Source organism: Homo sapiens, chromosome 7 (assembly GCF_000001405.40).
Source record: "Homo sapiens chromosome 7, GRCh38.p14 Primary Assembly".
Classification (NCBI taxonomy): domain Eukaryota; kingdom Metazoa; phylum Chordata; class Mammalia; order Primates; family Hominidae; genus Homo; species Homo sapiens.
Window position 1 is genome coordinate 4,678,121 of NC_000007.14, and position 22,841 is coordinate 4,700,961.

Genomic DNA, 22,841 nt, shown 5'->3' on the forward strand with positions numbered 1-22,841 from the left:
GGATCTCGTGAATAAATAACGCTGCTGTGAACATAGCATGCAAGTATCTCTTCAAGACCCTGCTTGCAATTCTTTGGGGGTATAAACCCAGAAGTGGAAGTCTGCATTGCATCTTATGGGAACTCTAGTTTGTTTATTTATTTATTTATTCGTTTATTTATTGAGACAGAGCTTCGCTCTGTCACCCAGACTGGAGCGCAATGGCATGATCTCAGATCACTGCAACCTCTGCCTTCCAGGTTCAAGCAATCCTCATGCCTTAGCCTCCCGAGCGGCTGGGACAGGTGCCCACCACCACGCCTGGCTCATTTTTTTGTATTTTTGGTAGTGACAGGGTTTCACCGTGTTGGCCAGGCTGGTCTGAAACTCCTAACCTCAGGTGATCACCCATCTGAGCCTCTCAAAGTGCTGGGATTACAGGTGAGAGCCACTGGGCCCGGCCTCGTTTTAACTTTTTGAGGACCCTGCATGCTGTTTCCCACAGAGGCTGCCCTGTGTTCCATTCCCACCAACAGTGTGTGTAAATGCCTTTGCAGGAAATCAGTATCTCCTGCATCCCTCTGCTTCTCTGCACCTCTCTCCTTTCACCTCTCTCGCTGGTCTCCAGCTTCCTGAGCAACCTCCGCCATCACTCTGACCTATTTCCAGTTCAGGATCCCCATGGCCGCTAGAGTGATTGCATTTCAGATACTGCATGTCGGTGTGCCTGCTGTCTTGCACGTAAAGCCCCTCAGTGGCTTCCCATTGCTCTAGGATCAGCCCCAGATCCTATAGGACCCACCTCAGCCCTTCTTCCCTCCTGGTTCAGCTGAACATGGCCACTCGGTTCCACACACAGTGACCACCTGCCTACCCCTCCACGGCCCATACTTCCTTCTGTATCACACAGAGTTCCCTGGCAGGGGCACTACCCTCACAGTCTCACACCACTTCCCTAATCAGGCATCCCTTAGACCTCAAGGAGGAGCCCCCTGACTCTGTTTACCATCCCCCCCACCTCAATCAAGCAGGTACTCAAGTTACTGCTCCTGCTAAAAATGCGTTCCTTGGCCGGTCACGGTGGCTGACGCCTGTAACCCCAGCACTTTGGGAGTCCGAGGCAGGTGGATCATGAGGTCAAGAGATCGAGACAACCCTGGCCAACCTGGTGAAACCCCATCTCTACTAAAAATACAAAAATTACCTGGGCATGGTGGCACACACCTGTAGTACCAGTTACTTGGGAGGCTGAGGCAGGAGGATTGCTTGAACCCTGGAGGCAGAGGTTGCAGTGAGCCGAGATCGCACCACTGCACTCTAGCTTGGCAACAGAGCGAGACTCTGTCTCAAAAAAAAAAAAAAAAAAAAAAAAAAAAAGCTTTCCTTGCCTCCCAAACACTTATCTCTGCATGCACATATTCAAGGCTGAGAGATGAGATTAATACCTATTTCAGCCCCAGACTGGAGCGTGGGTGTGCAGGTCAGGGAAGCTCCTGCCTTAGACAGGCCCAGTCTCTCGTTTACACTTGCACGTCACCATGCACCAGTCCCTCACCGGATGTATCACAGCTGTGACTTGATTTTACTTTTTCTAGGATGTGTCTTTGATTTATGTCTGCATCTCCCCCTCAACTATAAGCTCCACCAGGGAGGGAACTGTGTCTCCTTTCCCACCCTTAATAATTCGTAAATGAGGGAAATGTGGAAACTGCACCGCCTTTTTAGGGGAACCTGAACTGGCAATGGAGGACCAGGCTACTGAAGTCCGAAAGGGATCCCAATGATGCCCACGTTTGCCACTCCCTGTTTTCAGCTAAGATTTCTCTCTGGGGCATTCTCTCAGATCTGTCTTAGCTGGATCTAGCATATTGAATGAGTGAAGGGCTCCAGAAAGAAAGAGAGATAGGCTGGGCGTGGTGGCTCACGCCTGTAACCCAGCATTTGGGGAGGCTGAGGTGGCAGACTGCTTGAGCCCCAAAGTTGAACACCAACTTGGGCAATATAATGAGACCCTGTCTCTATAAAAAAATTGAAAAAGGCCAGGTGAGGCGGCTCCCGCCTGCAGCCCCAGCACTTTAGGAGGTCGAGGCAGGTGGATCACCTGAGGTCAGGAGTTTGAGACCAGCTTCACCAACATGGTTGAAACCCCGTCTCTACTAAAAATACAAAAATTAGCTGGGTGTGGTGGCAGATGCCTGTAATCCCAGCGACTTGGGAGGCTGAGGCAGGAGAATCGGTTGCAGTGAGCCGAGACTGCACCATTACACTCCAGCCTGGGTGACAGATTAAGACTCTGCCTTAAAAAAAAAAAAAATTAAAAATTAGTCGGGCATGGTGGCTCATAGTCCCAGCTACTTGGGAGGGTGAGGTGGGAAAATCACCTGAGCCCTGAAGGTTGAGGCTGCAGTGAGCTATGATTGTACCACTGCACTCCAGCCTGGGTGACAGAGTGAGACCCTGTCTCAAAAGAAAAAGACAAGAAAGAGAGAGAAGGAAGGAAGGGAGGGAGGGAGGGAAAGAAAGGAAGGAAGGAAGGAAGGAAGGAAGGAAGGAAGGAAGGAAGGAAGGAAGGAAGGCAGGCAGGCGGCCGGGCACGGTGGCTCCCGCCTGTAATCCCAGGACTTTGGGAGGCTGAGGCGGGCAGATCACCTGAGGTCGGGTTTTCAGGACTAGTCTGACCAACACGGAGAAACCCCATCTCTACTAAAAAAATACAAAATGAGCCGGGCCTGGTGGTACATGACTGTAATCCCAGCTACTTGGGAGGCTGAGGCAGGAGAATTGCTTGAATCCAGGGGGTGGAGGTTGCGTTGAGTCGAGATTGCGCCATTGCACTACAGCCTGGGCAACAAGAGCGAAACTCCGTCTCAAAAAAAAAAAAAAAGAAGGAAGGAAGGAAGGGAAGAAAGAAAGGAAGGAAGGAAGGAAAGGAGGAAGGAAGGAAGGAAGGAAAGGAAGGAAGGAAATGGAGGGAGGAAGGGAGGGAGGGAAGGAAGGAAAGGAAGGAAGGAAGGAAAGGAAAGGAAGGAAGGGAAGGAAAGGAAGGAAGGGAAGGGAAGGAAGGAGAGGAAGGGAAGGGAGGGAGGAAGGGAAGGAAGGAAGGAAAGAAGGGAGGGAGGGAAGGAAGGAAGGAAAGGAAGGAAGGAAAGGAAAGGAAGGAAGGAAAGGGAGGGAGGAAGGAAGAGAGGGAGGGAAGGAAGGAAGGAAAGGAAGGAAGGGAAGGGAAAGAAGGAGAGGAAGGGAAGGGAGGGAGGAAGGGAAGGAAGGAAGGAAGGAAAGAAGGGAGGGAAGGAAGGAATGAAGGGAAGGGAAGGAATGAAGGGAAGGAAGGGAAGGAAGGAAGGAAGGAAAGAAGGAAGGAAGGATGGATCAGGGATTCAGGGATGGATCTCAAGTGGTCTTCAGTTACAGTAGAGTATGATGACCTTTAATCTGAGGGCTTAAGAATGATCAGGCCTGGCACTGTGGCTCACACGGGTAATCCCAGTGCTTTGGGAGGTCGAGATAGATAGATCACTTGAGACCAGGAGTTTGAGACCAGCCTGGCCAACATAGCAAGACCCTGTCTCTATAAGAAGTAAAAAAATTAGCTGGGCGTGGTGGCACTTGTGAGGCAGAGGCAGGAGGGTGACTTGGGCACAGGAGGTGGAAGCTGCAGTGAGCTATGATTTTGCCACCGCACTGCAGCCTGGGCGACAGAGCGAGGTTAGAATATAAACATATGTATTGTATATAATACACATATATTTTATCTTCTGTCTATCTTACACTTTAGGGTTGGGGGCCTGGAGTGTCTGGGGCGGGGAGACTGCTGAGGTCATCCGTCCCTTTCTCCAATGACCCAGGCTCAAAACTTTGTGGCTGGGCATTTCAGGGGTCCCCTCTTCCCCCTGGATGGAGGAAAGGGCGCCCGCCGCCTGCAGCCCCGCGGGGAGGGGACGAGGTGCGCCGGGCCCAGCTCTCCCGGGGGCCCGCCGGCCCTCCCGGCACAGGCCTCGCCCCCAGCCCCGCGCTGGCGCGCGCCACGTGGGCTACGCTGGGCGGGACCGGCGGGCGGGCGAGGCGAGGCGCACGGTGGGCTGGGAGGCTCCGCTCCGCGCCGGCGCGATCTGGCCCGGGTTTCCGCGCCCGCCCAGCGCCCCGACCTCCCCGCCCCCCGCGCCGCCGCTGCAGCCGCCGCCGCCGGAGGCCGCTCGGAGCCGCGCGAACATGGCCGAAGTCGGCGAGGACAGCGGCGCCCGCGCCCTGCTCGCGCTGCGCTCGGCGCCCTGCAGCCCAGTGCTGTGCGCCGCAGCCGCCGCCGCCGCCTTCCCCGCGGCCGCACCCCCGCCGGCCCCCGCGCAGCCCCAGCCTCCGCCCGGGCCGCCGCCGCCGCCGCCACCGCCGCTGCCTCCGGGCGCGATCGCGGGCGCGGGCTCCTCCGGGGGCTCCTCCGGGGTATCCGGGGACTCCGCGGTCGCGGGCGCGGCGCCGGCCCTGGTGGCCGCGGCGGCCGCCTCGGTACGGCAGAGCCCGGGGCCGGCGCTGGCGCGGCTGGAGGGCCGCGAGTTCGAGTTCCTCATGCGCCAGCCCAGCGTCACCATCGGCCGCAACTCGTCGCAGGGCTCGGTGGACTTGAGCATGGGCCTGTCCAGCTTCATCTCGCGGCGCCACCTGCAGCTCAGCTTCCAGGAGCCGCACTTCTACCTGCGCTGCCTCGGCAAGAACGGCGTCTTCGTGGACGGGGCCTTCCAGAGACGCGGCGCGCCCGCCCTGCAGCTGCCCAAGCAGTGAGTGGCCCCGCGACCCCCGCCGCCCGCACCCGGGGCTCGCCCACGACCTCGATCTCTGAGGCCCGGGCCTGGGGATCCCCCTCCAGCTTCCTCGGCCTCGACCCCCACCCCCCGGCCCACCCCCGGTAACCCCCGACCGGCCTGGACTCCGGGGTCAACCCCGACCCCCGCCTCCTGGCTCCCTAGGATCACCCCGACCCCGATCCTGGAGGCTCCAGCCTGAGGATCTCCTCCACTTTCCCCGGTCTGGATACCCCGTCGCCCCCGACCCCCACCGGCCTGGACTCTGGGGTCAGCCCTGACCCACACCTTGCGGCTCCTGGGGTCACCCCTGACCTCATCTCCCACCGGCCTGGGCTCCTGGAGCCACCCATACCCCAAGCCCATCTGGCTGGGCCTCTTAGACCCCTGACCCAGATCCCTGCTGCTCCCCAGCTCCCATCGGCCTGGACTCCGGGGTCATTCTGAACTCCCACTGGCCTGGATCCCTGGGGTCATCTACGTCCCTACCCTGCCTAAACACGCAAGGTTAACCGCGACCCCCACTTCCTAGGCCCCCCCGGAGTCACCCCTGACCGCTAACCCCACAAGCCTGGGCTCGCAGGGCCACTCCCACCCCAGCTCCACCCAGCTGGGTTACTGAGGTCACCTTGACCCCAGTCCCTGCTGCCTGGGCCTGGGGATCACCCTCAACCCTTCCAGGTCACCCTGGACCCCCACCAGCTTGGACTCCAGGGTCACCCCAGCCTGACCTGGTTCTCAGGACCACCCCCGACCCCCACCAGCCAGGGCCTCAAGTCACCCCAGTGCCTGATGCCTGCCGTCCTGGACCCCAGTGGCTACCCCTGACCCTGTCTGGTCTGGACCCTTGGGCCACCCCCACCCCATCCAGTCTGGGTCCTGGGGGACCCCAACACACTCACCCAGGACAGTGGGAGGGTGTTGCTCCGGGAAGTGCGAGGTCCCTAGGAGTGTGGGCTGTGCTGAAGGAGCAGAGGCCTGGCGGGGAGGGGCGAGGACAGGAAGCCTGTGCCTCAGTTTACATCCCCAACTAGTGCTCCTTGGATGGAGTAGCGGGACCCCAAGATCAAATTAGATTCCCCCGGGCCCGAGGTCACCAGGGCAGAGAGACCCAGCTGGGCCTGGACGGCTGCCCAGGCCTGTCGGTGCCTTTGGTAGCATCCCGTGGTCACCTCCCGCCCATTCCGGTTCCCTCCTTTCCAGCTCCACTGCCCTCCGCACCCTCTGCTCTGCCCCGGACCTCAAGGTCTGTTGATCAGGAGAAAGCCTGTTTAATTACTCATTTCCTCTGGAGCCACTTTCTTTTTCTATTTAGTGATTGCCTCTAACTCATCACCAGTGTTTATATTTCTTCAATGTGGTTCTTGTTCAGGGTTGTCTGTCTAATTACTCCCTTTTATAAACGCCTTGCGTCTGGGGAATTTTTGCTGGGGTAATTCCCAGGGCCCAAAGTTTGTGTCTGTAAACTTCTCCCCTTTTTTAGTCTTGGCATGTTTGGTTACAGATATCGCATTGAATAATTTAAAATGCAACATCAACAATGACTCACTCCCCCTTGGGGCGTGAGAGGGGAAGTATACCTTTTTCTAACCGTGCTGAAAGGTGTGCATTTTGGTAAAATCAGAACTCAGGAGATAACAAATTTGTTCTTTGCCTCAGATATTAGTGTGTTCTCTCTCTTCCATAACCAATACACTCTCTCCGTTTGGGGCCATTAAATGCATTTCCTGGCCACTCTCCCCTCCAGTAAGAAAATGACAGGTAGGCTCCCCAGGCCCCCCTTAGAGGCCTGCTTTACAGACGCACCTTTATATAACTCAGGTTCACTAAGTACTTCCATTAAAGTCTTGTTTTCAGGTTTCCTGCCCCTGCCGTGGAAACAGGTGCACTCCTGAGTCAGGCCCAGCTTTAGTGAATCTTGAAGGAGGCTTTCACGGTATTTTTTTTTTGTAATTCAAGGGGAAAAAATTTCAACCTCAGATCGTCTACGAATAGGCCAGTAGCAAGCCTGTTATTTATGAAATGTTATCGGTGTATACAGTCCTTGCACATTTATGCTCCAGGGAGCTCGTGTTCTCGGTGGGTGCATTACCAGGCATTGTGGTGGGGCTGTCAGGCTACACAGATGCCCGCCCGCTGACTTGGTGCATTAGATGTGCGTGAAGTGCTTGGCCCACTGCGCCTGTCTGTTTTTATTTGACTTCACCTGCACATGTGAGCAATATCTATGTAGGCAGCAATGTAAAATTTACAAGAACAAAGCAAATGTGCAGAAGGAAAAACATTAAGTGGATGTCCATGTCCACCCTCCTAGAAAAGAGCTATTTGCTTTTTTTTTTTTTTTTTTTTCTGTCATGGAGTCTCGCTCTGTTGTCCAGACTGGAGTGCAGTGGCTCACTGCAAACTCTACCTCCCGGGTTCAAGAGATTCTCCTGCCTCAGCCTCCTGAGTGGCTGGGACTACAGGCGCACAACACCACGCCCAGCTAATTCTTTGTATTTTTAGTAGAGATGGGGTTTCACCGTGTTAGCCAAGATGGTCTCGATCTCCTGACCTCGTGATCTGCCTGCCTTAGCTTCCCAAAGTGCTGGGATTACAGGCATACAGGCGTGAGCCCCTGCGCCCGGCCTCACTTTTTTTTTTTTTTTTTTTAATTTTAGAAAACTTACACCTAAGTAGTCACATATGTAGAACAGGCTGTCATAAACTTTTTTGGTTAGGTAAAGATTCTTAAGCCTGGACTACATTTGGTTAGGTAAAGATTCTTAAGCCTGGACTACAGCCTCACGCCTGTAATCTCAGCACTTTGGGAGGCCAAGGCGGGTGGATCACTTGAGTTCAGGAGTTCAAGACCACCCTGGCCAATGTGGCAAAACCCTGTCTCTACTAAAAATACAAAAATTAGCTTGGCGTGGTGGATCACGCCTGTAGTCCCAGCTACTTGGGAGGCTGAGACAGAAGAATCGCTTGAACCCGGGAGGTGGAGGTTGCAGTGAGCTGAGATCACGCCACTGCACTCCAGCCTGGGCAACAGAGCAAGACTCCATCTCAATAAAAAACAAAATGAAAAAAAAAAAACCAAAAAACGATTCTTAAGCCTATTATGTTGAAAGTCATTAAGAAATTTTAAGGATTTCAGCGCAAGGAAGTTAGATGCGTAAGTTTTTGTCACCCTGAATGGGAAATTCATCACCGAATGTCAGGAATTACTGTGTCTGTTTTCTCTCCGGCTTTGGTACCTGGTATTGCCACTGCTACTGGAAATTGTGAATTTGTTTACTGTAAACTACAGATTCTCTTGCTGTGTTGGAATGTGATTGCCTTGGACGTGCTTGGATTTGGTGGGAGGTCTATGTTGTGTTGGTGCCCACACCATTTTCCAAAGCTGTGTTGTCCGGGGCCACCCTCTTCACCTTGGGACAGGTACATGCCACACACACTTCCAGTAGAGCTCCCACTCAGGAAGGATGCCAGAATTCAACCCCTATTTGTTACTGGAAGTACGTAATTCCAAATCTTCAATATTTTTAATTATTGGTGGGGGAAAAAAAAGACTTGTGACCCAGCTTAGAGCTGATCTTGCTCTACTGGGTGACACTACGCCTGGTGGGTAAGCATCTCGCCAGAGCTCCCAGGCACAGGGGGAGTGTGCGTGGGTTCTGATTCAGCTTTGCTTGGTGTTGACTTGGAGGAACTGCCCGGGTCTCCGTGATAGCGTTTCTTCTAGACCATAAGCTCCCTGTGGCTGGGGCCGAGAATTTATGATGTTTCACCAGAGACCTAGTGCAGGCACTGGCTCCTATTAGGTATGCAACAACTGGGTTCTGTTTGTTGAGTGAACAAATTAATGACCACATGAATTTGCAGCTTCTGTAGGAGAAAAACGGCGTCATCGATTTAGTCTGGTGTCCTAAAAGGACCATGAGCCTGTCATGGGGGGGAATTCAGACAGCCTTCTTCGGTTATGGGGAGGGGGGTGAGGTGTGTGTGTGCACATGTGTGTGTGTGCTGTCATTCTTGATGCCACTTAATTTTTTTTCTTTTCTTTTTTTTTTTTTGAGACAGAGTCTTGCTCTGTCACCGAGGCTGGAGTGCAGTGGCGCGAACTTGGCTCACCGCAAGCTCCGCCTCCCGGGTTCACACCATTCTCCTGCCTCAGCCTCCCGAGTACCTGGGACTATGGGCACCTGCCAGCATGCCCAGCTAATTTTTTGTATTTTTAGTAGAGACGGGGTTTCACCGTGTTAGCCAGGATGGTCTGGATCTCCTGACCTCATGATCCACCCTCCTCGGCCTTCCAAAGTGCTGGGATTACAGGCGTGAGCCACCACGCCCGGCCTTTTTTTTCCTTTTTACATAGTTAATGTATCCAACTGAATTCTTGGTTTGTTTGTTTTCGTTTTCGTTTTTGTTTTTTTGCAACGGAGTCTCACTCTGTTGCCCGGGCTGGAGTGCAGGGGTGTGATCTCAGCTCACTGAAACCTCCGCCTCCCAGGTTCAAGCGATTCTCCTGCCTCAGCCACCTGAGTAGCTGGGATTACAGGCGCACGTCACCACGCCTGGCTAATTTTTGTATTTCTAGGAGAGACGGGGTTTCACCACGTTGGCCAGGCTGGTCTGGAACTCCTGACCTCAGGTGATCCACCCGCCTTGGCCTCTCAAAAGTGCTAGGATGACAGGCGTGAGCTACTACGCCCGGCCCCAACTGAATTCTTGATGCCACTTAATTTTGAATTTCATTTACCCAATTCAAAATTCAAAAAATTTGTTTTCCTCATGAACCTGAGACCCTGTGCATATCCCATACTTGCTCTTCCCTCTTTCTCTAAAGCCTTTTCGCCCAGTATTTTTATAGTAAATGTGGATGGCTTGAATAATTACAATGAGAACAAGACTTCTGTTTGTGGTAACTTTGAGTGGTAAGATTCATATGGGTGTCTTTTTTTCTTTATACTTTTCTGTGTTTTCCATGTTTTCTGAAGTGAATGTGGTTACTTTTTAAAATTATTTTTTAATTTTGTAGAGACAGGGTCTCAACCATGTTGCCCAGGTTAGTCTGGAACTCCTGCTCTCAAACGATCCTCCCACCTTGGCCTCCTAAAGTGTTGGGATTACAGGCATGAGCCACCATGCCCAGCTGCTTTTTTAAATACATACTTTTTATCATGGACAATTTCAAACATAGACATAGAGTAACAAGCTTCCACATGGCTGTGGCCGGCTTCAGCAGCTATCATCTTGTGGCCAGGCTTGTTTTATCTTCACCCCCATTCACCTTTCCCCCTCGCCCCAGTTCTTTAGAAGCAAATCACAGATGTCATCTTACTTTGTCTATAAATATTTCAACCAAAATTTCTAGAAGATAAGAATTCTTAAAAAAAAAAAAAAAACCACAGTGTCATTATCACACCTAAAAAATGAATAATAATTTCTTACTGTCCTCAAATAATCAGTGCATAGGTTTCTCTTACTGTCGGCATGGTTGTTTTTTCTTTTCTTTTCTTTTTTTTATTTTTATTTTTTTTTGAGACGGAGTCTCGCTCTGTCGCCCAGGCTGGAGTGCAGTGGCACTATCTTGGCTCACTGCAACCTCCCAGGTTCAAGCGATTCCCCCTGCCTCAGCCTCCCAAGTAGCTGGGATTACAGGCGCTCGCCACGACACCTGGCTAATTTTTAGTAGAGATATGGTTTCACCATGTTGGCCAGGCTGGTCTCGAAGTCCTGTCTCCAGTGATCTGCCCGCCTCAGCCTCTCAAAGTGTTGAGATTGCAGCCCCCACGCCCGGCACCCTCTGCTTTTTTCTCATGGAGTCACTTGTCCTGTGTAGTTCCCCACACCTGCCTTTACAGATTGGATTCTGCCAGCATCCATTCACTGTGTCCCTCCCCCTTGTCATTCCTGTAAACTGGTTACTAGACCCGGGGATTCCATCAGACTCAAGTGTTTTGTTTTGCTTTTTTGCCAGAACTGCCTTCTAGGTGGTGGTGCACGCAGAGGTGAAAATGTCTGGGTGTCCCCCACAATTTGTAACATTAGCAGCTTTTGGTGGTCATTGCCTTGGATCCCTTAATTTGTTCTCACCTGCACTTTTTTTTTTTTTTGAGATGGAGTTTCACTCTTGTCACCCAGGCTGGAGTGCAGTGGCACCATCTTGGCTCATTGCAACCCCCTGCCTCCCAGGTTCAAGCAATTCTCCTGCCTCAGCCTCCTGAGTAGCTGGGATTACAGGCATCCACCACCACGCCTGGCTAATTTTTGTATTTTTAGTAGAGAGGGGGTTTCGCCGTGTTGCCCAGGCCAGTCTTGAACTCCTGACCTCAGGTGATCCGCCCACCTCAGCCTCCCAGAGTGCCGGGATTGCAGATGTGAGCCACTGCACCCGGCCACCGGTACTTTTTTGTGGTTCATTTTGGCTGCCAGCATCGGATACGTGGCTGGGTTGCCATGCTCCATCTGCTGAGAGGCGTATTGTGAGTGGCAGGTGTTATGGATCACAGCCTCTGCATATGTGCCAGCAGAAAAAGTAATTGTAACCAGCAAAGCATTTTACTACATAAACGTTTTAGCCCCTATAAAAACATCCGGAGATCCTTTTGTTGTTCATGAGCATGACAATTGGGTGTTTTCATGCAGCGAGTGAGATGTGCCACCCTGGAACCTTGTTACGACGTCGCATGTTACCTGTCTGACCTGAAAAATAATTAATAAGTAAAACATACGGAAGCCAGTTTCTCATGGCTATTTCCAACTAGTCACTTGAAGAATATGGAATTAGTTATACAATTAGTTATACGTTGTATAACCATCATAAAATTAGTTACAGATTGATGTGACATTATCTTGAAATTAATGGGAAAAGTGCCCCAGACCTGGGGAAGTCGAATGCCCCACTACGTGGCATCAAGGACAGTGACGGCATTCCTCTTCTCCTGGGGTTTTCCCACCCTTGTCACTGCCCTCACCCAGTCCCCTTAGGTGACCCAGCGCCTGGGTGGGTCACGCTTGGCTGGTGCAGGAGTGGGCGTATGTGCTGAGCTGGGCTTTGCACTTGGGACAAGAAAGGGTGTCAGATCAGTCTCTTTCCAGCGAGTAGACGTGAAAACTCAGGTGGTGCTGTCTCGCTTCTCCACGTGAAGGATCAGCCTGCAGTGCCAAAGGCGAAGGGAAGAGCTGTGATTAGGGAGGGTTGGTCTGTTAGTGAAGGAAGCCACAGAGGAGACAAAGACGGGCATCAGGTCCGACTCCTGAGACCTGGTGGCCCCAGGACTGGAGAGGAGCAGATCCAGGTGCAGGATCTGCTGAAGGAAGGAATGTTCCCGTTGGGTGATGGTTTTGAACCGGAGCTGGGGAGAACAATCACTGCTGCAGAGGTTGGAGGGGGAGCCGCTTCGCGGAACGGGGTGAAGCTTTAGTTTCAGTCCGGTTGTATCTTGATAGCCAAGAAATGAAATGCGGCATCTCCAAATAAAGGCTTTATTCTTAGTGTTTTGCTAGTTGGCAGTTTTTGTGTATCACATATATTTGTTCCAAGTTAGACTGTCAACTGGTTAAAGTTACTTTAAAAAGCTTTGTGGGCAAGTAGCAAGTACATTGGGTCGAGTTAAAACTATGAGCCACTTTCTAGTATTTGGTGTACGCTGAATTTTTTGGGCTTGCCGCCCATTTAAGAAAACTTACATAGAATTTTAAAAGTCAGTCTATGAGGAGGGTGTTGTCGTGTAGTATTATTGAACTGAATTTAGAATATTTGCATGAAAGCCTTTGTCATACTGATGGAGAAAAAGGGTTTGTGGGTGCTAAAAGTGTAGGATGTAGTGGTGTTCATATTTAGTACTTTTGAAAAAGACGCAGCTATGTTTAAAATTTTGTGCTGAAATGAGACTAAAGCATTTGATTTGGAGATAGAGTAATTTACGATTTGCTGTTTTTGCATCTTGTGAATGTCAGAGGATAAACTTGCTAAATTAATGACAACTCAAATTGCAGCAATGCCTCATTTCCATAATTACCCTACATTTAAAGCATTTCATATTAAAATGAGAGGATTATATAAAATGCTTTTAGTTTGATTTCCTGGAAATAGGCCCCTGCATCGTGACTTGTTGGGCGATCTTGTACTTAATTTTCATTGCGACTATTACTTTTCACGAGTTTCTAGTTTCCTGGTAAAATGTTGCCGGGTAATTAAAAAGGATAAAAAACAGAATGTGCGTAACCAAGAAGGCGTGTGGCGTGCTGCCAGGAATCGGAGGAACCAGGGTTCAAGAACTCGCCTCACCTGACCCATTTCTACAGTGTTGATGATGTATGTTTTCCTCGGATGCTGTGAAGATGAGTTTGGGCATGTTTTGCTTTACTTAAACATAACAGTTTCATCATTAAATCATGAACTGCTTGCAAAGCGTAGCTTTTCTCTCCTAAGAATACTTTTCAGGAAGTAGACAAACTGATCAATAGACATACAGAGAGCCTCCCTCTGTCTCCCAGGCTGGAGTGCAGTGGTGCAATCTCAGCTCACTGCAGCCTCCGCCTCCTGGGTTCAGGCGATTCTCCTGCCCCAGCCTCCCGAGTAGCTGGAGTTACAGGTGCCTGCCACCACGCCCAGCTAATTTTTGTATTTTTAGTGGAGACGGGGGTTTTACTGTGTCGGCCAGGCTGGTCTTGAACTCTTGACCTCAAATGATCCACCCACCTCGGCCTCCCAAAGTGCTGGGATTTCAGGCATGAGCCACCACGCCCAGCCCAGGCCATTATACATGATTTGATTAAGAAGAATCTCGTCTGCCCTCAGTACTGCATTTAACCTTGCTGGGAAAGGGGTGAACTGTCTTCCATCTGTTTCCTCAGAGGACGCTGAGCTCTGATCATGTTGCCTCTCTGCCCAGAAACCTCAGTGGCTCCCGTGTACCCAGGGCAAGAGGCCCTGCCCCTCAGCAGAGACCCTGTTATTATGAAGCTGTCCTCTAACCTGTTCCCCTAAGTGTCAAAGGGCATGGTTCTCTTTGGGCAGAATGGCTGCTGGACATTCTCTGCTTATACCAGCAATTCCCAGATTTGTTTTAGTCTCAGGGCCCTTTTATACTCTTATACTCCTACACATTACTGGGGACCCCAAAGAGCTTTGGTTTATATGAGCTATATCTGTTGACACTGACCGTATTAGAAATTAAAATATGCATATTTATTTATCTACTCAAAAATGGTAATAATAACTCTATTTCAAAAATATTTTTATGAAAAAAAAACTATATACCCCCACCCCAAGAAAAGAATAAGAGTTTTTTTGGTAGAACTCTGTAATGTCTGGCTTAATAGAAGACAGCTGGAATCCATGGCTGCCTCCGCTTTTAGTCGGCTGTGATGCGTGTTCAGGCTGAAGTACATGGAGAAAAGCCAGCCTCCTGCAGATACGTAGTTGGAAAAGGGAGTATTTTTGTAGCCTTTTCAGATATTGTGGATGTTCCTTGAGACCTCACTAAAACCTGACAAGGGGTAGTTTCTTTTTTTGTTGTTTTGTTTTGAGACGGAGTTTTGCTCTGTTGCCCAGGCTGGAGGGGCAGTGGCACGATCTCAGCTCACTGCAACATCCGCCTCCTGGGTTCAAGCAATTCTCCTGCCTCAGCCTCCCGAGTAGCTGGGATAAACAGGCATGTGCCACCACGCCCAGCTAATTTTGTATTTTTAGTAGAGACAGGGTTTCATCATGTAAGCCAGCTGGTCTCGAACTCCTAACCTCAGGTCATCCTTCTGACCTCAGGTGATCCGCCTGCCTCAGCCACCCAAAGTGCTGGGATTACAGGCTTGAGCCACCGCACCCGGCTGGGTAGTTTCTTTTTTTTTATTTATTTTTTTGAGACAGTGTCTTGCTCTGTCACCCAGGCTAGAGTGCAGTGGTGCAATCATAGCTCACTGCAGCCTTGACCTCCTGGGCTCAAGCAGTCCTCCTGCCTCAGCCTCCCAAGTAGCTGGGACCACAGGTGAGCACCACCAGACCAGCTAATTTCTTTTATTTATTTATTTATTTTTGGTTGAGATGGGGTCTTGCCGCGTTTCCCTGACTGGTCTCAAACTCCTGGCCTTAAGTCATCCTCTGCTATAATATCCTTAAGTCATCCTCTGCTATAATATCCTTAAGTCATCCTCTGCTATAATATCCGTAGATGTTTTATACTGTGTTACGTTAAAACCTATTGCTCTTTCATTTTGAATGAGTCCTTTGCCACCCCTGTGTGATTTTGTAACATCATACATTGGCCATTGGCAAGAATATTGATTGAGTTATGCAGATCTTCTAATGTTAATTATAAAAAACAAAGTCTGTTTTATCCTGAGGTTCAGCTGATAGTTAAACTTGATCCCTTCGAACCCAATAAACTCTGTTTTTAAAAACAGAAATCTTTTATAGGAACAGGCTTTTTGTAGTCAGTTAATTTTTAAAGCTGTTTTAAAAGTTGAGTGACACAGCATATTTTAAATAGACTTTTTATAGAGCAGTTTTAGGTTCACAGCAAAAGCATATTTTTATAGAAATAAAGTTATATAATTTAGTCATTGGCCTTATTAGCATGTTGTGATATGACTTGGCTACAGTTAGTATATTTTTTTAAATGTACAGTAATTTTTTGATGATTTAGGGTGGCACGATTCATCCTGTTAGTTACTGCCGTTATTTTCCCTGGGGGCCTCTGTCGCCCAAGCCGCTCTCTGATGGTGCCCTTGGCCTTTCAGCCACGGATATGGGTGTCCCCTCCCCTGGAGAACAGCAGAGTGATGGGGGAGGTGGGACAGGGTTGGGGTGTCCCAGGTGAGTCCTGGAGTAAAGTCAGTAACAGAATTTGTCTTGTTTTTTTGTTTGATTTTGAGGCGGTCTTGTTCTGTTGCCCAGGCTGGCCTTGAACTCCTAGGCTCAAGTGATCCTCTAGCCTCTGCCTCCCAGTGTGCTCAGGTGTGAGCCACCTCATCTGGCTTCAAATAATCTCTTTAAAAAAATAACAAAAGTTTTTTTTCTGTAGAGACAAGGGGTTGTTGCCCAGGCTGGAGTACAGTGGCATGATCACAGCTCACTGTAGCCTCTAATTCCTGGGCTCAAACGATCCTCCTGCCTCAGCCTTCTGAGTAGCTGATACTACAGTGCCTACTTCCATGCCTGGCTAATTTTCTTTTTATTATTTTTTATAGAGACCAGTGTCTCACTATGTTGCCCAGGCTGGTCTTGAACTCCTGGGCTCACATGATCCTCCCACCTGGGCTTCCCAAAATGCTGGGATTATAGGCCTGAGCCACGCGCCCAGCCAGAATGTGTTTGTATGGAGACATTGTTGTGTGGGATTTTTCATGAAACTTTTCTAGGTTTTTTTTTGTTTTATTTTATTTTTTACTTTGGAACATTTACATCAAAATAAGCAGACTTTCTGAAAAACTATGCCACTTTGGATAAACATAAAAATTCATTTTCTCCCTCCCCAGTCTGATAGGAACTCTTGGAGGAAATTTCTCTCTCTTTCCCTTCTCACTATAAATCACAGCAAATCAGCAGTACACAGAGAATAAAAGCAATCTTCTGCCTGTTCTGAAAAAGCTTTGCTTCTTGTGATTTGTATCACGAGGGGGAAAGGTCCTTACTGTTTTTCCAGACCTACAGTTGTGATAGAGGCTCCTCCCAGCCCCGCCCACAGACCCCAACAGTGCCCTCTCTCACAAATGGATTCTGGGGCTTGGTCTTTATTTTTGTTTTTGTTGGGGGCAGCATATGGAACCCAAAAATAGTATCATAGCCTAGATTTGGAGCTTTGTGCCAGCCTTGTCTGTAGGATGACCCGTGTGGGTCTCACCTGGTGACTGGGAGTCCACAGGGGTCAGTTAGTAGCAGGGAGCTGCAGGGCGCCTGTCAGCAGAGACCGTCTCATTCCCCAAACCCAGGAGCCAGAGGAACTGACGCCCGGATAAATGCCCAAGCCGCCCCGGGTGGGATTAGTCGTCTACCTTCCCAGAAATACACCCTCCCATCCTGTGACTTGGATACAGTTTACTGATGAAATTAGGGAACCTCCTGCGCCTTACCAAGAAGCTGTGGCTGGAACTTAGTCAATGAAAAATGATTTGTAAACTCTTTGGAGCTGGCTTTGAAAGAATGTTTAAAATGATAGCTGATACTGCCAGACAACAGAACAGGCCGGCCTTAGCCATGAGGCTCCAGAAGAAGGAGAACTGCAAAGTTTGTGTCCGCTACCTCTGCCCTTGGGATGGAGCCATTCTGTCTGCTTGGCTGTACAGCCCTGGCATTGGGAACAGTGATTCATCGCCGCTTGATGAAAACATCTTTCCGTTAAGAATATCCACCTCCCTCGGGTTGGAGTCCATATTAACCAGGGAACACTTGCAGCCCTAATTTGGTTCCTAACCTGCAAGAAGATTTTGCTAGAATATCCAGCTTCCTTTGCAATTCTCTTTTTCTCTGTAAATTGTGGTGTGGACAGATTTTACAGGCCTGCCTACCTTTGGATTGGCCAATCAGGGATGCCATGGCGAGTCTAGAACTTCCTGTGGTGGTAGAAATGTTTTATATCTGTGCTGTCCAACATGGCCACCACTAGGCATGTGTGGCTGTTGAGTGTTTGAAATGTGGCTCAAGGCGGGGCGCGGTGGCTCATGCCTGTAATCACAGCACTTTGGGAGGCCAGGGTGAGAGGATCACAGGTCAGGAGTTCGACACCACCCTGGCCAACATGGCGAAGCCCCGTCTCTACTAAAAATACAAAAATTAGCCAGGCGTGGTGGCTCACGCCTGTAATCCCAGCACTTTGGGAGGCCAATGTGGGAGGATCACCTGAGGTCGGGAGTTCGAGACCAGCCTGACCAACGTGGAGAAACCCCGTCTCTACTAAAAATACAAAATTAGCTGGGCGTGGTGGCGCATGCCTGTAATCCCAGCTACTTGGGAGGCTGAGGCAGGAGAATTGCTTGAATCCAGGAGGGAGAGATTGCGGTGAGCCGAGATGGTGCCATTGCACTCCAGTCTGGGCAACAAGAGCGAAACTCCGTCTCAAAAAAAAAAAAAAAAAATTCCCACAAAAATTAGCTGGGTGTGGTGGCGTGCACCTGCAATCCCAACTACTTAGGAACCTGAGGCAGGAGAATCTCTTGAACCCAGGAGGTGGAGGCTGTAGTGAGCTAAGGATGCACCACTGCACTCCAGCCTGGGCGACAGAGCAAGACTGTGTCTCAAAAAAAAAAAAAAAAAAAGAATCTTGTGCTGAGTCTGACCCCTGACATACATTAGGAGGGGAGGCTTCCATTTGTCCCTGTCTTAACTCTCCTTCTTGAAGCCAAAGGAAAGACGCAAATCATCTAGGAGATTCTGATGGATAATAAAGAAGAGGGACAAGCTTGCTGATGTAGGGGAAATAAATCGCCGAGGCTCTGTCTAGCTTGGATTTACTGTGTGTATTGGCTGTGGGTGGATTACAGGTGAGCTCATAAATATTAGTATTTTGCTCATGTCCTTCCAGATTTGTAATTTCCTTGATAAGCAGGTGTGTGCGCGTGACATGTCTGTCGTCTACCCGTCACACGGTTGTACCAGGTAGCCTTTGCTTAATAAGCCCTCGGAGTACTCGTCCTTTGAGCTCGTGGGACTTGCGGGGTGGTCATTAAGCGTTGGTGTGAATACCGGGTATCTCCGTCTCCCAGAAGCTGCGAGTCCCTCGAGGGCAGGGGCTGGTTCTTTCGGGAGGCATTTTGTTCTCAGTGCCTCGCCCAGTGCCAGTGAAGACACACTTCCAGGTGTCATCTGCTATAACCTGCTAGCCCTTCTAATAGATAAACCCCAAAACCTTGCCTATGGAAAGTCCACAGTAGATGTTTCTGAATGGTGGGCAGAAAATGCCTCCTTCGGGCCAGGTGCTGTGGCTCACGCCTGTAATCCTAACACTTTGGGAGGCTGAGGTGGGTGGATCACTTGAGGCCAGGAGTTCGAGACCAGCCTGGCCAACATGGTGAAACCCCATCTCTACTAAAAATACAAAAATTAGCCAGGCATGGTGGTGTGCTCCTGTAGTCCCAGCTACACGGGAGACAGAGGCAGGAGAATCCCTTGAACCCGGGAGGCGGAGGTTGCAGTGAGCCGAGATCATCCTGCCACCGCACTCCAGCCTGGGCGACAGAGCGAGACTGTCTCAATAAGCAAAAAAAAGAAAATGCCTCCCTTAAGGTGTGATTCAGGGACCCAGGCTGGCACTGTCTGGAGTCCAGCGGCCTGGGCACGGCTGCACCTGCTGCAGTGCTGTCTGCATCTGGAGGAAAAGAGGGAGGCTCAGGGGAGGCCAGGCCCAGAAGTAGCATATCTCACTTCCACTCAAGCCAGTGACCAGAGCTCAGTCTCCGGCCACTCCAAGGGAAGGCAACGTGCTCAGGAAGAAGATGACAGTGGCCTGCTGAACAGCTAGCCGGTATTCACGGCCAACTTTTCAGATCAGGGTAGCCAGCTGCAGCCTGTGGGCCAGACCCTGCCAGCTGCCTGTGTTTGTAAATAAAGTTTTATTGGAACACACCAGGCACATTTGTTAAGTGCTGTCTGTGGCTGCTGAGCTGAGCCGGAGACCATGTGGACCCCAGAGCCTGTGTTATTTCCTTCTGGCCATGCCTGGTGGCCCGTCTGCACACCCCTGCCTTAGGCCACAGACTTCTACTCTTCCACATCAGTGCGTTTACCTGGGTTCATCAGCACCTTTTATTACCAATTTCTCTCCACATTTCTTGTCAGGTTGAATCCTGGGTTTTGGGAATATGAATAGGATCTTTTTTTCTTATTATTTTCTAAAGGTTAGTGTTTACATACAGGAAAGATAGGCTGTGTGTGTGTGTGTGTGTGTGTGTGTGTGTGTGTGTGTGTGTGTGTGTTTCTTTGGTATGAGTTTTATAGTAACTAATTTTTTTTTCTTTTTTTTATTTTGAGATGGAGTCTCGCTCTGTCATCCAGACTGGAGTGCAGTGGCGTGATCTCAGCTCACTGTAACCTCCACTTCCTGGGTTCAAGTGATTCTCTTGCCTCAGCCTCCCGAGTAGCTGGGATTACAAGGGTGCGCCATCATGCCTGGCTAATTTTTGTATTTTTAGTAGAGATGGGGTTTCACCATGTTGGCCAGGCTGGCCTTGAACTCCTGACCTCAAGTGATCCTCCTGCCTTGGCCTCCCAAAGTGCTGGGACTACAGGCGAGAGCCACTGTGCCCAGCCCTAATTTGTTATTAAAATTTTACGTTTTGAAAAAGTTGCACGCCTCCAAAAATGTTGCAAGATGAGTCCAAATAACTCCTGCATGTCCTCTGCCCAGATTTGTTCATTTTTAGTGCTCTGCCATGTTTAGCGTTTTCTCTATATATGTATGTTATCTGAGAGTGCGATTTTATATATGTATGTGTGTGTATATATATATATATATATCGTGCCCTTTTTCTTAATACCACAACATGCATTGCCTAAGAATAAGGATTTTTTTTTTCTCGCTTCACCATATGCAAGAATAAAGATATTTTATTCACACCTACCCCAGGACACCCAAAAATGGGGTGGAGGATATTTTACATAATCACAGTCTGTTATTAAATTTAGGAACATTAATGATGATCCCATATGATTAGCTCATGTGCAGTCCACGTACCTCTTTGTTGTTGTTGTTGTTTGAGATAGGGACTCCCTGTGCCACCCAGGCCGGAGTACAGTGGCACAGTCATAGCTCACTGCAGCCTCGACCTCCCAGGCTCAAGTGATCCTCCCACCTCAGCCTCCTGAGTGGCTGGGACTACAGGCACGTGCCACCACGCCCTGCTAATTTTTTTGTGTGTTTCTAGAAATGGGGTTTCACCATGTTACCCAGGCTGGTCTCAAACTCCTGAGCTCAGGTGATCCTCCCACCTTAGTCTTCCAAGTAACTGGAACTATAGGCCTGCGTTACCATGCCCAGCTAGCTTTTTATTTTTTATGGAGATGGGGTCTTGCTGTGTTGCCCAGGCTGGTCTCAAACTCCTAGGCTCAAATGATCCACCCACCTCGGCCTCTCAAAGTGCTGGTGTTACAGGCGTGCACCACTGTGCCCGGCCCACATACCATTTTTGCCATTTGTCCCAGTATCGCCCAGTGCAGTGCTTTGTCGCTTGCTGGGGCTCCAGCCCAGGATGGAGTTTGGCATGCTGTTGTCCTGTGTTTTTAGTCATCTGAATCTGGGACAGTTCATCAGCCCTTCTTTGTCATTACTGACCTTGACATTTTTAAAAACAGGCCAGTTATGTTCTGGGCTGGCTCTCCACATACATTTGTCCGATTTGACAAAATCCCAACTTCACTCAGGTGGAGCATCTTTGGCCGTGGGACTCGTGGGGTCCTTATCCACAGGGTTAGTTTTTTTTTTTTTTTTTGAGACAGTCTCACTCTGTCACCCAGGCTGGAGTGCAGTGACACGACTCGTGGGGTCCTTATCCACAGGGTTAGGTTTTTTTTTTTTTGAGACATCTCACTCTGTCACCCAGGCCGGAGTGCAGTGACACGATCTCGGCTCACTGCAGCGTCTGCCTCCCAGGTCAAGCGATTGTCCTGTGTCAGCCTCCCGAGTAGCTGGGATTACAGGTGCCCACCACCATGCTGGGCTAATTTTTGTATTTTTAGTAGAGACAGGGTTTCACCATGTTGGCCAGGCTGGTCTCGAACTCCTGGCCTCAAGTGATCCACCCACCTCAGGCTTCCACAGTGCCGGGATTACAGGCATGAGCCACCGCACCTGGCCTCACAGGGTTAGTTTTGATCACTTGGTTTAGGTGTTGTCTGGCCGGCTTTTCCACCAAAGAGTTGCTGTGTTTTTTCTTTTGTAATTAAGTAATTTTTGAGATTCAGTACAAGTGTTAAAATATTAATTTTCTGTCTAGTCACATTTACATTTCTGGTAACAGTTTTTTAATTCATGTGCTTGCGTTTCCTGGGCCATAATCCTCATGTGCAGATAATACTTCTTCTCTTTGTTCCAGTATCTTAGATCTCATTTCTTTGTGTTGTCTGGTTGAATCGGCTAGGACCTCCAAATAACATTGACCGAGTACCATGATAATGGGCTCCTTCTTGTTCCTAGCTTGGAAAGAAACGCCTGTGAAGCGTTTCAGAGTAAATATTGCTCTGCCTGCCTGAGAGCCATTTCCGTCAGGAGGCCTTCCCCGGTGCCTGGCTGAGCTTAGGTCCCACTGGCTTGCACTGCAGCACCCCACGGCACCCTGTGTGGCCTGTCGTTGTTTGTGGTTATATTTATCTGAGACACCTGAGTTTTGTTGGGGCAGGACCACGTTTTTCTTGTTTATTGCATAGCCTCAGTACATACCAATATGCTTGGCACATAGTTGGCACTTTGTAAATATTTGTGGGCAAAATGAATAAACAAATAGGAGAGATCTGAATGCAAAAATAACCTGGTGTAAGAAAGTGATCAGAAGTTCCATTAGCTTAGCTTCTAAAGGTCTGGCTTTTGCTGAGTGCCCTTGGGCAAGTGGATTGACCCCGAGCTCCTGTTTGCCCATCTGTAAAGTGGGCACACTTCCTTTTTCATAAGTAATTGTGAGAATTACTAGAGATACATTAGAAGTATTTACTGGGCCAGATGTGGTGGCTCAGTGGGATTACACCTGTAGTCCCCTCCCAGCACTTTGGGAGGCCGAGGTGGGAGGATCGCTTGAAGCCAGGTGTTGAAGACCAGCCTGGGCAACATGGTGAAACCCCGTCTCTACAAAAATTACAAAAATTAGCCAGGTGTGGTATCATGCACCTGTGGTACGAGCTACTCGGGAGGCTGAGGGGGAAGGATCCCTTGAGCCCCAGAAGGTCAAGGCTGCAGTGAGCTATAATCGCACCACTACACTGCAGCCTGGGCAACAGAGCAAGACCCTGTCTCAAAAAACAAACAAACAAGTACTTACCTCAGTGCCTGGCACATAGACAGTGCTGATAGATAAACATCCCACATACATGCGTCTGTGCTGCCATCATCGCTGCTGTTACTGTCAAGGATGTATTATTCATCCTGTGATGTCAGAAGC

At 49.7% G+C, this 22,841-nt stretch overlaps 1 protein-coding gene and 1 pseudogene across 1 annotated transcript in view, besides 7 other annotated features; both read left to right on the forward strand.

The window, feature by feature from the left end:
• Window positions 3,176-3,676: an enhancer, noted in NCBI's record as "H3K27ac hESC enhancer chr7:4720927-4721427 (GRCh37/hg19 assembly coordinates)". NCBI's record gives its function as "activates a minimal SCP1, AML or CMV promoter by ChIP-STARR-seq in primed H9 embryonic stem cells {active_cell/tissue: H9 hESC(primed)}" and the evidence as "EXISTENCE:reporter gene assay evidence [ECO:0000049][PMID:30033119]".
• Window positions 3,878-4,172: an enhancer, noted in NCBI's record as "tiled region #11841; K562 Activating DNase matched - State 1:Tss, and HepG2 Activating non-DNase unmatched - State 4:PromP". NCBI's record gives its function as "activates a minimal TATA promoter and a strong SV40 promoter by Sharpr-MPRA in K562 cells, with weak activation in HepG2 cells {active_cell/tissue: HepG2 | K562}" and the evidence as "EXISTENCE:reporter gene assay evidence [ECO:0000049][PMID:27701403]".
• Window positions 3,878-4,255: a biological region, named in NCBI's record as "Sharpr-MPRA regulatory region 11841".
• Window positions 3,886-4,255: a silencer, noted in NCBI's record as "silent region_17898". NCBI's record gives its function as "represses an Ori minimal core promoter by ATAC-STARR-seq in GM12878 lymphoblastoid cells {active_cell/tissue: GM12878}" and the evidence as "EXISTENCE:reporter gene assay evidence [ECO:0000049][PMID:35858748]".
• FOXK1 (forkhead box K1) overlaps window positions 4,175-22,841 on the forward strand; it is an 89,148-nt gene continuing 70,481 nt past the window's right edge. The window contains exon 1 of the mRNA NM_001037165.2: window positions 4,175-4,748. Within this exon, the coding sequence (NP_001032242.1) occupies window positions 4,189-4,748 (560 nt within the window). The 5' untranslated portion in view covers window positions 4,175-4,188. The remainder of the gene's footprint in view (window positions 4,749-22,841) is intronic.
• Window positions 4,406-4,475: a silencer, noted in NCBI's record as "silent region_17899". NCBI's record gives its function as "represses an Ori minimal core promoter by ATAC-STARR-seq in GM12878 lymphoblastoid cells {active_cell/tissue: GM12878}" and the evidence as "EXISTENCE:reporter gene assay evidence [ECO:0000049][PMID:35858748]".
• Window positions 5,032-5,559: an enhancer, noted in NCBI's record as "H3K27ac-H3K4me1 hESC enhancer chr7:4722783-4723310 (GRCh37/hg19 assembly coordinates)". NCBI's record gives its function as "activates a minimal SCP1, AML or CMV promoter by ChIP-STARR-seq in primed H9 embryonic stem cells {active_cell/tissue: H9 hESC(primed)}" and the evidence as "EXISTENCE:reporter gene assay evidence [ECO:0000049][PMID:30033119]".
• SNORD13P2 (small nucleolar RNA, C/D box 13 pseudogene 2) lies at window positions 11,309-11,513 on the forward strand (annotated as a pseudogene).
• Window positions 21,481-21,981: an enhancer, noted in NCBI's record as "H3K4me1 hESC enhancer chr7:4739232-4739732 (GRCh37/hg19 assembly coordinates)". NCBI's record gives its function as "activates a minimal SCP1, AML or CMV promoter by ChIP-STARR-seq in primed H9 embryonic stem cells {active_cell/tissue: H9 hESC(primed)}" and the evidence as "EXISTENCE:reporter gene assay evidence [ECO:0000049][PMID:30033119]".